Raw genomic sequence first — 15,152 nt, forward strand, 5'->3', positions numbered from 1 at the left:
TGCTGGGTGCCATCAGTGTGCTGGAGGGGGAAGGGGGAGACAGCATTTCTCTGTCCTAGAGCAGTGCACAGCCTGTTCATGCACCTGTGTGTGTGAGTCAGCTCAAACTGCCATAACAGAAGACCACAGACTTTGTCTTAAACAGCAAACATTTATTGTCTCCCAATTCTGGAGGCTGGAAGTCTTGGATCAAGGCCTCAGTGGGATTGGCTTCTCCTGAAGCCTCTCTCCTTGGCTTGCAGACAGCCATCTTCTCCCTGTGTCTTCACGTGGTCTTTCTCCGTGAGTGTCTGTGTCCTGATCTTTTCTAATAAGGACAACAGTCATATTGGATTAGGGCCCATCCTAACAGCCTTATTTTAACATAATTTGCTCTGTAAAGGCCCTGACTCCAAATAGAGTCACATCGTGAGTGCTGGGCGTTAGGATCTCAATATCTGAATTAGGGAGTGGAGCACAATGCAGCCCATAATAGTCATCGTCTAAGGGATGGGCGTCGGGGGGTGCTTGCTTATGCGGAGCCTGTGACCCTGCAGCTCAGCATGGGAGGCTAAAGGGGCGCTCACCAGGATGGCCAGAGGAAGGGGCAGGATGCAAGAAGGACATTTCAGGGGAAAAGAATTGAATTTGCCAATTTACATTAAAGTTTCTGGCCTCTGATTGGGTCTGCATGGTTTCCTGTCCTGTAGCAGTCTTCTATAAAAGGCTGGAGAGGAGGTATGTTAGGCTTCATGGGTCGTGTGGTTTCTCCTGAACTACCTACCTCTCCCAGTTCAGGGCAAATGCAGCCATTCCAACCAATGAACTTGACTGTGTTCCGATAAAACTTTATTTACAGAAAGAGGCAGAGGATCAGATTTGGCCGACATGTGGGAGCTTGCCGGCCCCAGTCCCGTAGGATCCCCAACGCTAATAGTCTGGATGAGGGTGCACAGGCTGTGAGAGTTCCTGTTAGGCGGGAAGGCTCTGGCCCCTCGGGATCATACACCTTATGCTGGTGCTGCAGTGTGTGTGTGTGTGTGTGTGTGTGTGTGTGTGTGTGTGCAAGTGAGGGAGGGTGACCCCCACACCAAGCACACAGGGCCATGGATTTTCACTGTCTTGGGTCCAGGCCTATTTCTAGCTAAGTGTTATCTGCAGGGTATAGCTTAGCATAATGAGAGGGCAAAAGCAAGATGACTAAGTGTTCGTTACGGAAAAGTGGGATGTCAGGGGAGCCTCAGCAGGGGCATCACCTGGATGTACCATTTTCCGCATGGAGCTGGTGCCGTGGGGGAAGAATAGGTCACAGCTTGTATGACCCGTGTGCTTCTCCAGTTTCCAATGATGACATTCCATCCACCCACCACCCACCCAGATGCGCTTCTCTAGTTTTATTGAGGTCAGTTTGGTTCCTGTCAGCCACAGTTTTAATACATGTTTATAGGGGGAAAAATCTTAATTAGAATAATTAGAATAAAATTATTAAATGCAAATGTGTGATTGGTACTCACACTCTTTGGATCTCAGTTAAAGGTGCCAGCTTTTCTTTGACCTATTTTAGAACTTCATAGAAACCTTTAACAAGAACCTGTTCCAAAGTGTAATGAATGCAAATCATAAGACACTAAATGAGCTATTAACAATATTCACTGTAAAACCACCGAAGTACTCAAACATCACTTTTTTTTTTTTTAGAAGTAGAAACATTTTTGAACTTGCATGGATGTTTTTAAGCCAGAAAAAACTTTTTTTAAAAAACTTGGTAATTAGGAAACTATTAGTGCTCCTGCAGCAGCAAGAGGATTCATTTGATCTCATTGCGAAATCACACGTGCACCGTCCTTTACATTCAGTCAGATGCATGCACGGCCCCCGGTGTCTGTTAAAGCCGATGAGGAATGCTGCCCGCAGAGCAAAGGCGAGTGGTTGTGGACGTGCCTGTTGATAATCTGATCTTGACATGGCGCCGCCTGCGTTGAGACTGTTGCTCCATCACCCCGTAGGAGCTTAGCCATGAAATGTTCCCTCTGTGTAACGATGATCCCTGTGCGAGCAGAGGCCGGCACCATTTGGTCCCTGAGACTCAAAACAAAGACTGATTTGCCTGGTTAAGACCCCCAGTCTCTAATGCAGTCAATAAATCTTTGTTGGTAAATAATTGCTATCGAGCAGAGTTTTAATATAAATTTATGAGTGGTGTTTTATCACAGCTTGGGGCTGCAGCAAACACTGAGTGATGGGTTTCAGATAGCACTTACATTCATGACATTAACTTTGTAAGTTATTTAAAGCTTGTACACTTAACATTGCTTTTGGCTTTCAATGACCTCTTGGGACTAGACAAAGAATACACATGACGAATAAAGGGATTGCAGCCAAAAGACAATTCTACTCTTTGCTCCACTGTAGAAAAGGTTCCTTGGGCTTAAAGCAAGATGTGCCTGCCTGGAATCCTGATATTTTGGTTATAGGTCATTAAAATCAGTCTTTCTGATATGTCAGTAAATTAGGTGGTAGGAATTAGATCAACATTTGCCATTTCCAAGTAACATAAGAAGAATAATTTGAGGTGTCACAAAACATTTGAAATTTCTTGCTTTACAAACAAGTTAAAATTTGTCTGGTGGGTGAAATGGTTTGCAGGGAGGCAGCATAGCAGCGGGGTAACAAGTATAAACCCTTGGTTTGTACCTCGAATCTTGCGCCTGTTTCTTCCCCTTACTGCCGTTTGGGTTATCTATTGCTGGGTAATGAGCCCAAATTATAGTGGCTTAAAACAGTACCATTTTGGCCAGGTATGGTGGCTCACGCCTGTAATCCCAGCACTTTGGAAGGCCGAGGCAGGTGGATCACAAGGTCAGGAGATTGAGACCATCCTGACCAACATGGTGAAACTCCATCTCTACTAAAAAAAAAAAAAAAAAAAAAAAAAAAAAAATTAGCCGGGCGTGACGGCAGGTGCCTGTAATCCCAGCTACTCAGGAGGCTGAGGCAGGAGAATCACTTGAACCCAGGAGGTGGAGGTTGCAGTGAGCCAAGATCGCGCCACTGCACTCCAGCCTGAGCGACAGAGCGAGACTCCGTCTCAAAAATAAAAAATAAAAGTGCCACCTTATTGTTTATCATGATTCTGTGGGTCAGGAGTTTGGGCAGGGCATATTGGGGACAGTTTGTCCATGCTCCACAAGATACTTTCTTAGGGCTACAGCGTCCAAGATCATTTCTTTACTGATGTATCTGATGCCTCAGCAAAAGTGGCACAGCTGGCTGGAGGCTGACGTGAAAAGGTCACTGGCAGTCATCTATCTGAGACCTCAGTTCTTCCTCAAATAGTCTCAGGGTGTCTCCTCTTTACTTGGTCTCCCCAGTAGGATAGTCTGACCTCTTAACAAGGCTGCGCAGGCTTCCCAGGGGTGTAAAGCAGGAGTTTCCAGGCCTCCTTCAGGCTTTGGCCAGGAGTGGCACAGCATAATTTCCACCACATTCTGTTGGTTCAATTGAGTCAGAGGACAGAGTGATCACACAGGATATGAGCACCACGGGGGATGAGGGGGCTGGTTTTTGTGTGCCATCTTCGGACACTAGCTACTTCACTCTACCCTCCTTCCTGCAAAGTACCCACAGCCTGTCCCCAGCTACCCAAAGTCTCAAGCCATTATGGCATCCAGCCCAGGCTTGAAGTTCATGGCCTTGTCGTCTACACCAGGTACACGTGGATGAGGTTCCTTGCATGTGGTCCTCCCCATCGGAAGACCACGATACGCAGGGGACAAGTTATCTCACACACCATGCAGTGGTGACTCAGGAACAGGAGAACTGCAGCAGATACCCTTATTCTAAAAAGGTGGAGAGGCTGTAATCCCAGCACTTTGGGAGGCTGAGGCAGGTGGATCACCTCAGGTCAGGAGTTCAAGACCAGCCTAGCCAACATGGCGAAACCCTGTCTCTACTAAAAATACAAAATTAGCCAGGCATGGTGGCACATGTGTGTAATCCCATCTACTTCGGAGGCTGAGGCAGGAGAATCACTTGAACCTGAGAGGTGGAGGTTGTGGTGAGCTGAGGTTGCACCATTGCACTCCAGCCTGGGCAACAAGAGTGAAACTCCATCTGGAAAAAAAAAAAAATGATGGAGAGGGACAAGAGACATGGAATAGTCACTGGGCCATAACAATTCTGAAATCCAGCCAGCACATGATGCTGATTCACCCTGCTCTGGGCATAAGAACTGTATATTCTCCCCAGGAGGCATCCTCCTTGGCCCTTGGCTCTGCCCTCTGCCTTTCCCATAAGAACTGACCCATGTTTGCTACTATGCAGCTTTCTCAGCCTGCTTCCTGCTGTACTTAAAGTTGAGGGCCCAGAGACCACTTTTCTTTCTGAACTTTCTCTGTGCATTTTAATCCAAGATGGTATAATTCCTTTAAAAATCTTGTGGGTATCCTTTGTGTCAAATCATAATCTGTTCCATTAAACAAAAGCTAATGCACAGATTTCTCTCTCTAATCCATGGATCTCTAATCAGAAGGGTCTGTGAGGCATTGCCTTAAAATATTTGAGTTCTCAAGGAAAGGGTCTGACTGCCACACCATTGAAGGGGTCCTCATTCTGAGATCACAGCTACTGGCATCCCCAGGATTTGATCTTAGTTCTGATGCCAGTTCTTACTCAAGGGTTTTCTGCTGTCAGGAGAAGCTGGGAATGAGAAACTGTTTTGTGATCAGTCCAGCAAGGTTTACAGTTGAAATATTTTTTCTAATTGTGCTGGAAAATTCCCTGGACCTCCTCTCTCTCCTCCCGTATTTAACAGAGCCAGGAGCACTTCCAGCATCTGGCATGGCAATCTGGTAGCTAGGTGTGCAGGCTCACGAGGCACTCTTGCTATGCTACCCATCCCCCTGCGTGGGGTGGCCGGGAGGGGGCAGGTTGCTAATTGCCCTGCTGGTACCTGTTCTGCCGGCCCCATTTCCATCCTAAGGTAGCATTTTCCTCACTGTCCTCACAACTTCCACTCATGCTTCTTACATCTCTGCCAGCCTCAGCCAACTGCCTAGTTCCAAAGCCACTGCCATGTGTTTTTGATTTTTGTTACAGCAGTACAGGATGCTAATTCTGTTTTTCTTACCTGTTGCTGCATAAGGATCCACCCTGAAACTTCAGGGTTTAAGAAAATGATCATTTGACTGTTTCTTATAACACTGTGGCTGAGACCTGTGGACAGAGCCCAGCAGGGCTGACTTATCTGTCAGAGCTTCCCAAGGCACCAGGTGCTGCTAGGCTTTCTCGAGAATTAAACCCAATGGAGATAGTGTTATTCCCACTGATGCTGTTAGCTAAAGTGAGTCTCGGGCAGCCCAGGGTCAGTGTGGGAGGATTTATTTATACAGGGACACCAGTGCCACGAAGTGTGGTTCAATGGGAGCCGTCTTTGGAGAACAGATACCACGCTGGCTGTGCATGTTGGGCAAGTTACATAAGCAGTCTGTTTCAGTGTCCTTATCCATGAAATGAGAATCGTCGTGGATATCAGTTGTGATTGCAGTTGATGAAATATGCAGTTGTGAATACTGAGAGATTGGTATTCATACTCTTTGGAACCCAGTTAAAGGTGTCATATCAATTCCTGTCCATGAAATGAGGATAATCAATGACCATCTGGTTGTCATGCACTTTCAGTGGGTTAACAGTTGCAAGGCACTTAGAGCAGCAGCATCTGGTTCAGAGTGAGCCCAATATTGCATAGAAATAAAAAAAAAAAGTTCTAAATAAATGCCGAAGCCACATAGGAGTCAAAGAAAGCGTTAACTGTAATTGATGTCTTCACTGTGACAGCTGGACAGCAAGAAAGAATCTTAAGCAGAGATGGTTTTCACATGTACAAAAGTGGCATCTGAAAGATGGACAAAGTATGCATGGTGACATGCCACCATGCCGCTGGCCCTGGGTTATGCAGAATCAAAAAGACTTAGGATCACAGGGGCCATTGGCACTCACTGACAGGAACTCTCTTCCTGAGCATCTCAGGCAGAGCCTTCCGGCCTCTGTCATCTTCTGGCCAGTAGGATCACGGCTTCATGTCCTCTAAAAGTTTCAAATGAACTATTTTTAGGGTTTTCCATTTTCTTGGTCCTTAGAGTAGGAAGTGTGAAAGTTCGGACTGATTGAACATAGAGGAGGCTGTCTGCGCGCTCAGCCCAGACCAGTGGGGGCCACCTTAGTACCACTTCCTCCCTAAGGAAAGCGACGGGCCCCCTGTCTTCCCCGATTGGTTTCCATTTAGCTGCTGCACATGGGGGATGCTGAGTGTGTTCAGAGGGGCGTCCCATGGTCGAACTGGAACTTGCTTTGGGAAGAGTGTGGACTAAGAAGGGGCTTGGCTTGTGTTGCCACATGTGAGAAGACCTCTCAATGGGGCTTTTGTGGTGGCTCCACGGTCCCTGAAAGTCCCCACTGGCTCAGTGCAGCTCTGGAATTAGGAACCAGCCGTGCCCCAGGAGGGCAGAGGACCCTGGCTCTTTCCAAGGGAGATCATCCAGGCAGCTCTCACTGCTGAGACCTATGGACCCCTGTCCCCAGGGTGCTTATGCAGAGACTGCGGGACCCCAGGTGGGGATCATGCAAAACATTTTTGTAGCAGATTCAGGGCTGAATGGTTTAACTTCTGGGGTCGCTCTAGACTGAAATTCTCTGATTCCCACTTGGTACAAACACTCTTCAAAAATCAGTGTTCAGAATTAATTTAAGCCAAGAAAGAAAAAGCATGTTTTTAATCCACAAAAGCTATTTCCCGAGTCTGCTCATTTGTAGTCCAATTGAACCTCTGATTATGACTGCTCCTCTGGCCTCCTGCTTCTGAAGCCCCAGCCAACGTCTTCACTCATCAGAGAGCTTCTGTCTCATCGTACTTTTGAGGAACAGCCTTTTAAAATTATTTAAGGAGAGACAATAGAGAGTTTTGTAGTTTTTCCTATTGTTTTGGCAAACTTTTTTTTTTTTAAAGGTTTACATGTATAAATGCAGACATGGACTCTCTGACGTCAAAGATCTGTGGGCATTAAATCCACAGCTGGGGAGTCCGGGCTTTCCCAGGATTGGGGCCCTTCAAGGAAGAGCAAGCCTGTGTAATAATTTGGAGGCCTAAGTTACCCGACTGTGGGAAGGCCAGTGCCGCTGTCCAGTCCATGTGGAAGGACCTTGATGTCAGTCCAGAACCACATTTTCGTTTTGTTTTTGAGACGAGGTCTTACTTTGTCACCCAGACTGGAGTGCAGTGGCACAATCACGACTCACTGCAGCCTCGACCTCCTGAGCTCAGGCAGTTCTCTCACCTCAGCTTCCCGGGTAGCTGGGACTACAGGTGCACACCCCCACACCCGGCTAATTTGTGTATTTTTTTGTAGAGACGGGGTTTCAACTTGTTGCCCAGGCTGGTCTCAAACTCCTGGACTCACACAGTCCCCTCGCCTCCATCTCCCAAAGTGCTGGGGTCACAGGCGTGAGCCATCACGCCCAGCCCAGAACCGCATTCTGTTTTTTGTTTTGTTTTGTTTTTGTTTTTGTTTTGAGACAGGGTCTTGCTCTGTCGCCAGGCTGGAGTGCAGTGGCGTGATCTCAGCTCACTGCAACCTCTCCCTCCAACCAATTGCCCTACCTCAGCCTCCCAAGTAGCTAGGTCTACAGGCGCACACCACCATGCCCAGCTAATTTTTTGCATTTTACTAGAGACGGGGTTTCACCATGTTTACCGGGATGGTCTCGATCTCCTGACCTTGTGATCTGCCGGCCTCGGCCTCCCAAAGTGCTGGGGTTACAGATGTAAGCCACTGTGCCCGGCCCAGAACCACATTCTTGAGCTGAGCTCCCGAGGGTACCTGGTGATGTAGAAGGAAGTTGGCTTAACTGGGGGCGCTGCAGCAGCTTCTCAGACATGGCTGCCCTCATGCCTCCTTGGGGCCAGGGCTGTGGTTATAGTTGCTGTCCATCACTCTAGGTGCTTTCACCTAGGCAGAGCAACCGAAGTGCACTTTGCAGGGAGCTAAGAGGCTCGGCTGCTAACAGCAGACGGGTTTGGGTGGGACTGGAGTGAGCTCAAGATTCTGTGCAGGCCTCACTTGGATCAGCTGCTCCTGTCCTTAGGGGTCAGGACAGGACTTCGTCATGTTTCTGGCTTTGCCTTCATCTATTCTGGAAATTTCAAGAGAACCTGGACATGTGAATGTGAAAGAGAAGGCACTCATGTATAGAACTCATTACAAAGATAGCATTACTCCTAGAACCAAGATACCATGAGTGTGTGTGTGCATGTGTGTGTGCGTGTGCTCTTGCACACGCTCATGGATCAAGGCAGAGGATGAGTTTAAAAACTGGTACTAAAATACCCTCTTATCAGAGAAATTGTCAATATCATGGCCCCACATTTCCATTAGATAGGCAGTAACCTCTTGTGAAGCGGAAGCAAACTAGAAACAGCTCTCCCAAACGTGGGCAAAAAAAGAAACTAGAACTGGTTGAAGACTGAGTTTTGGGAGAAGAACCCTGGAGGCCAAAGGCAGTATTCCTGGGGTCCTGGGATGGAGAGAGCCCTGTCACCCCCTCTCCCCCATCTGCCCTTGCTGCAAGGAGGAGGTCAGCCTTGTTTTATAAATGAGGTCACTTTTCAACCTTACTGGTCCATGGCCCTGTCCTGTTTCTGTATCTGCCAACCAGAGAGCAACTCCCGTTGTTTGTTTTCACCTTTTAGAATTCCTGGGACTAACAACAATTGTAATAAAATCGATGGTATTTTAAATTGTTGGGATGAACAAGCACTTTGGGTTCCTGAGATCTTAGGATAAAAGCCCACCGAGGTGCGAGTCTCACCATCGTGCTGTCTGCTGAGAGATCTGATTCCCAGCGGACCGGCCTTCCTCACTCGATGATTGTCAGGGCTGAGAACCCAGCACAGGTCTGTGATGCCCACGAGGCTGTGCGGCTCAGGGCCAGGTCGGTTTTGAGTCACGTGCTTACTGTGTGTCGGAACACTTGTGCTTTGAAGGCTGCGATTGGACACGTGATTCCCAGCACGTTTCCTGAGGTTCCGCCTGCAGCCCGGGCCTGTGGTGGAGTAGAGCTTCTCTCCCCAGCTTTCCCGGGAGTGTGTGGTCTCCTGTTTCCCATCTGCATTTGCTTATGGGGCGCCATGACACCAACACATGGAGCCACTTGGAGACTTGTGTGTTAGTTGTGCACAGATACCTACACTTCCCACTGCCCGACAGTACGTGCAGTGATTTTGATGGCTGTTTATCCGGACTAATCAGACAAAAACATCTTCCAAAATACATTATAATTGCACTAGGGACTTCTAAATTTTTATTCAATGGGTAAATGTCTTTTTATTTCATTTTAAAAACTCAATGCATTGTTTGTTTATATTTAACATGGATTCATTTAATGAGAGTTAAGTTTGACCATATAATGGAACAAATGTTAATTTCCTCAAAAAGTAGTTGTTCTATGTCAGACCCATGACCAAGATCTCCTTGCTATAATTAGATGACTTGTTTCCAGGGTAAGGGGCTCACCTGCAGATAATTTTCTCATCTCCAATAGAGGTGTGCATTGCCTTCTGTATCTTTACTTCATTGTTCTCTAGCTTCCTCATTTGAAATTGCAAATACTTGTATCTGTTGTTTTCCTAAGGTGAACATGATGCTTTTTACTATCAATTTATGTACTTTTAGAAATATTTAAAATAATTTATTTTTAAAGGAGAATGAACTAGTCAACCTATTAAATGATTACGTCATGATTTTAATGATTCTCAGGAAAAATTGTGCTGACCCTTAGATGATAATTCTTCAAAATGGGATTCTGATTCTGTGTTGGCCAAGCAGATTATAACCCGGCCCTTGCGTGCTAAACCTTAAGTGTCACCATATTCACCCCTAGGCTTCTTCCTCTCTCATGGCTCCTCCCCAGCCACCCTCCGTCTCCCGGACTTCCTCCTTGAACGTGGAACCTCAACGGCTGGCCTGGCCGCCTTGCCTGCCTGGGGCACCAGCCCCCCAGTGCTGTGTGGCTGATACCAAAGTCTTCTTTTCCCTCCTGGTCACCAGCTCCTGTACTCTCTGGCTCAGTGAATGACCCCACTGGGCCACGACAACTAAAGCCTGACTTTGTGCTGGCCCCGCCCCACCTCACCCAGCACCTTGTCCCGATTTTACCTCCAGCGTGTTTCTTGCATCTGCGTTCTCCTTGCCTGCCTTCCTTCTCCTCTCTTGCCCCCAGGCGCATCCCTGATCGTTGCTGCCATTCTAGACCAGTCTTTCCCACATTTGAGTGGTGTGGAACCTTTTTTTTTTTTTTTTTTGAGACAGAGTTTCACTCTTGTTGCCCAGTCTGGAGTGCAATGGCGCAATCTTGGCTCACTGCAACCTCTGCCTCCCGGGTTCAAGCAATTCTTCTGCCTCAGCCTCCCAAGTAGCTGGGATTACAGGCATGCACCACCATGCTCGGCTAATTTTTGTATTTTTAGTAGAGTTGGGGCTTCACCATTTGGTCAGGCTGGTCTCAAACTCCTGACCTCATGATCCACCCGCCTCGGCCTCCCAAAGTGCTGGAATTACAGGCATGAGCCACCACGCCCTGCCAGAGCCATTTAAAAGAACAAAAATCTCATGAATCCTTCAACATTGATTTAACTGTTTTGATAATAATTATGCAGTTAGGTACAAGCAGAAAACTAAGATTCAGCTCCTTGTCTTTATAGCTTTTAAATAGATATAAAAGTTATATTTATTAAACATTTAAATTAATACCATTAATTTACTGTGCATTTAATGTTAAGGATGATGATGTTTTGCTGAAACAAAATGACGGCCATCCGTGCCAGGGGTTAGGGATGACGGTTGCAGGGCAGGCTCCTTTGGTGTCAGCTGCCTCGTGACCGTATCACGTGGTGACCCCAGTCTCTTCCTTTCCTGCTTTCATACTGAGAAATCGTTTCGTGTACAGCATGCGGTGCCTTCCCCGGGGGTTAACTTGTTCTCAGAGTGAGTGATTTACATGTTGCGTCTCCCTCAGCGCTGTCCCCCTTAGCACCACTCATGACCTAGGAAGTCGGAGATGCCAACTCGGGCAGTGGAATCCAGTGGTGGTTTTGGATCACTTTTTAGATAGTGATTAAAATACACTCAAAAATTTAAAAATTCTCTTGGAGAAATTATGGTTCCAGAGAAAATGACAGGTTTCCCTTGCATCTCAAATTTGCTCAGACCGTCTGGGGATCTTGTTACATTTGGATTGATCCCTCCCCCTCTTGGGTACACCCAACCACTGGTCTAAAGTGGGCCACACTTTGAGCTGGAAAGTGCTTCCGTCTTTTGCCAACTTAAAATTTGTCCTCGCCAGGGGAATCTTTCCTAATGCAAATCAGATAACCCCTTCCTCCCTCCACCCTGCACACCTATGGCAGGGCCCAGACATTCAGGCACCTCCAGGGCCAGGCAGGAAGTGGGGCTGAGGGCAGCCCGCTGATTTGAGAGAAGGGCCCACGGTGCCCGTGGAAACCCGAGAGTGTGGCCTCTGCACACTGCTGCCCCTCAGGGCCATATTCCCATGTCAGATGGAGAGTATGGGTGCTGCGGCTGCTGGATCCTAAGATCCATAGGAGGGCAGGGGGACTCCATCCAACCCCAGTGACTCTTGGCCAGAAGTCACAAACACCGCGTGCACGTGCAGCTGGCCTGCAGCAGGTTCAGTGTAACCAGCGTTCAATGCAAAAATGTATACCTGTGGCCAGTATTTTAACATAAGAAGCCATCACACACAAGTCCAGTGTTTCTCCTTCTCTTTGATAATCAGGAAATCTGGCCACGTGGGACCCTCCAGCCCTGCAGGGTCGCTGTGTTGCACAACCCCAGGGGCTTGTTGGTGGCAGCATGTTGGCCCAGTCACGTTCTGGGCTAAAGTACTCCTCCCTGCCAAGCAGGTCTGATCTCTAGTTTCCAGCAGCCCTGGGCACCCCGTTCCTGGAATTTGCTAGTCGGGTTGAGATTTCTTGTCCTGTTCTCCTTTCCTTGAAGACACTCAGGGTTGAGGCCTTCTCAGGCTGCTCCTGGATTTAGCAAACAGAAACCGCTTCCTCTGGAGCCATGTGCACTCTCAGTTAAGGGAAATATTTGCTCATCTGCTCTCACTCCAAGCTCACATTATATTTCAGTGGGAATTTGGGAGTGAAGCGGAGCCCCTGTCCGCTCATGTTCCTTGACTGAATCAGAATGTCTTGGGAATTGGGGATACCCTCTGTAAACTGTGGGGTGCAGCGGGAAGATAAAATGCGAGTTGTCATGAAGTCTCACTTCTCTCCCTGCAAGGGACTCAGGTGACAGAGGTGCCTGCCAGAGGGATCCTGAGCAGCCGCCCCTTGGTGGTTGTGCTTTGGAAGGGGGAGCTGAAGTTCAAGACCAAAAGTGTTGGGCTGGGCAGTGGCTGGGACACCCAGAGGTTCTGCGTGGGGAGCAGGTCACCGCCCATCAGTAGGAACAGGAGACTTTGGCAGCCCAGCAGCCCAGTGTCCTGGCAGGAGTGAAGACGGCAGGAGAGCTGGCCCTGCCACATTCCGTTAGCTAACAAGACACTTCCCCTGTGTAACTCAGTCCTGGCTTTCAGGGAGCCATGGCTTCCATAACTTCGCTGCCCCTGACTTGTTCCTTTGGGGAGCAGGGGACATGACTGCACAGCCGGGCTGAGCATGGGGTAGTGCTCCAGCCACTGAAAGAAAAGTGCACCTGCCCCAGCCCAGCTAGACCACAGCCATGACATGGCAAGCGGGGCAGCCAAGTGGCTCTTGGTCGCCACAGCAATTCTTGGGGGGGTCAGATAATAAACCCAACTGGGGCCAAGGCTGGAAGGCAGAAATATGACTCCTAAGAGGCCAGGGTATTCTGTAGTCCTGCCACTTACGCAGCATTTGAATAGTGCCTATAATCCAAGATTATCCCCCCTGGCAAGACGTAGAGTTTAAGTTAAGTTTACTTATTTAATAAGATCTTAAGTTTATTGAGAGTTTTCCTAGGATCAAAAGAAAATCAGCGTAGGCCTGGCACAGTGGCTCACTCCCTGTCATCCAGCACTTTCTAAAGACCTAAGCGAGGCATGGTGGCTCACTCCCCTGTTACCCCAGCACTTCTGGGAAGCCATGGTGGGAGGATTGCTTGAGCCCAGGAGTTCGAGACCAGCCTGGGCAAGATGATGAGACCCTGTCTCTACAAAAAATAAAATAAAAAATTAGACAGACATGGTGGCATGTGTGTGTAGTCCTAGCTACTCGGAGGAGGCTGGCGCAGGAGAATTGCTTGAGCTGGAAAGTTCAAGGTTGCAGTGAGCTGTAATTGCATCAGTACACTGCACTCCAACCTGGGCAACAGAGCGAGACCTTATCTCTACAAAAAACAGAAATAAAAAAATTAGCCGAACAGGATGGCACACGCCTGTAGTCCCAAGCTACTCAGGAGGAAGGAGGGAGGATCACTTGAGCCCAAGAGTTCAAGGCCACAAGGAGCTATGATAGCATCACTGCACTCTGGCCTTTTTTTTTTTTTTTTTTTAAAGTTTTAATTCAGCCTAATTTAGTTCCTCAGAAAGCTATAAAATGATGTCTTCACATGCCTCCCGATTAGACTGTTTCCCCCTTTTTCCTTAACAAATAAGTCCTCGTAGCCTTCACTGGGGGCAGGACAATTTTGAGGATGTGATTTCCTCACGAAAGTACCTCCCACACGCCAGCCAGAAGAGTGGTGCAAATCCATCCGCGTGGAGCCCCGAGGGTGTGCGCCGTGGCCAGCATTTGTCTGAGTGGGAAGGGATGAAGCTTTCTGAATGAAGCCTGGAGCATCTGTAATCTCCTGGTGACACCAGAGACCGTGGCCCTGGCATTGTTGAAATTCCATCTGAAATGAATGACGGAAAAATGGGAGCCCACTGGAGAACTTGAGTGAGGGCGAGGCGGGTGGATCACCTGAGGTCAGCAGTTCAAGACCAGCCTGGCTAACATGGTGAAACCCCATTTCTACTAAAAATACAAAAAAAAAAAAAATTAGCCAGGCATGGTGGCATTTGCCTGTAATCCCAGCTACTCTGGAGGCTGAGGCAGGAGAATCACTTGAACCTGGGAGGCGGAGCTTGCAGTGAGCTGAGATCGCGCCACTGCACTGCAGCCTGGGCGACAGAGCGAGACTCCGTCTCAAAAAAAAAAAAAACAAAAAAAGAACTTGAGTGAGGCTTTGTTATGCTAAGTTTTAAAATCCACGGGAATCCCACTGAAGAGGGGTCTCTCATGAGTTGAAGCAATTGCTTGTTTATTACCGCATCGCTGATGGTGACTGCCCTTCTCTAATTCCTGCCATGCAAGGAAGCCCTTATTGTCTTGGTTTGCAACTTAGTAGCATTTTCCTGTGGGCTTCATTGGGTTGATTGGTCTCAGTTCCATATTTGGTGTATAGCGATTTAGATTCCAAGAAATCAAGGTATGCCACATTTTGCCACGTTTCCGTTAATAAGAACTTGCAAAGAAATCATCTTCTAAAGTCGTTTCAAACTCAAATATTTTCCCTTAAGCAACAATGTCTAATGGTGATTGCAGCCCCAAGCTGGCTCATACTTTATTAAGTTTGTGAAACTTGGTTACGATCTAGTAAATAAAAAACAGTATTGTCACAGTATTGGTAATTAATTGGACTTGAACTCAATTATATCCCATAATAATTATTCATTCTTATGTTGTAATTCTTGAAAGATAGCAGAATTTAGGAGGTCGATGGAGGCTGGGAAAAGTTCTGAAGGTGACTCGTGGGGCATCTCGGCTTTCTCAAAGCGTCTTCTTGTATTTCAAAACTCATAACTTTCCTTCTGCCTCAGTCCAGGTGAATTAACTAGCCTGAGTCTTACGCTCTCTCAGTCATATTAAGGTTACATAAGTTTATAAAAGGGTAGGAGAAGAGGAAGTAAAGAGATTGTTCCATTTTTCTTGGTTAACATGGGCCAGAGTTAGATGAGAAGGGAGGAAGACAGAGACAGAGACTCCCGATGTGAACGCTGCCATTGAAAGGGACTGAGCTGGACAGGCATGGAGCCCAGGCTGAGCAGGAGAGAATCCCAGCTCAAGGTGTGGGGCCTGCCCAAGCTCAGTG

At 47.7% G+C, this 15,152-nt stretch overlaps 1 protein-coding gene across 4 annotated transcripts in view, besides 2 other annotated features; it reads left to right on the forward strand.

Annotated features, from left to right (window-relative positions):
- AGAP1 (ArfGAP with GTPase domain, ankyrin repeat and PH domain 1) overlaps positions 1-15,152 on the forward strand; it is a 637,751-nt gene that overhangs the window by 372,489 nt on the left and 250,110 nt on the right. The gene's annotated exons all lie outside the window — the stretch shown is intronic.
- Positions 9,561-10,061: an enhancer, noted in NCBI's record as "H3K4me1 hESC enhancer chr2:236784736-236785236 (GRCh37/hg19 assembly coordinates)". NCBI's record gives its function as "activates a minimal SCP1, AML or CMV promoter by ChIP-STARR-seq in naive H9 embryonic stem cells {active_cell/tissue: H9 hESC(naive)}" and the evidence as "EXISTENCE:reporter gene assay evidence [ECO:0000049][PMID:30033119]".
- Positions 10,062-10,562: an enhancer, noted in NCBI's record as "H3K4me1 hESC enhancer chr2:236785237-236785737 (GRCh37/hg19 assembly coordinates)". NCBI's record gives its function as "activates a minimal SCP1, AML or CMV promoter by ChIP-STARR-seq in naive H9 embryonic stem cells {active_cell/tissue: H9 hESC(naive)}" and the evidence as "EXISTENCE:reporter gene assay evidence [ECO:0000049][PMID:30033119]".

This window comes from Homo sapiens, chromosome 2 (genome assembly GCF_000001405.40).
Source record: "Homo sapiens chromosome 2, GRCh38.p14 Primary Assembly".
Lineage (NCBI taxonomy): Eukaryota > Metazoa > Chordata > Mammalia > Primates > Hominidae > Homo > Homo sapiens.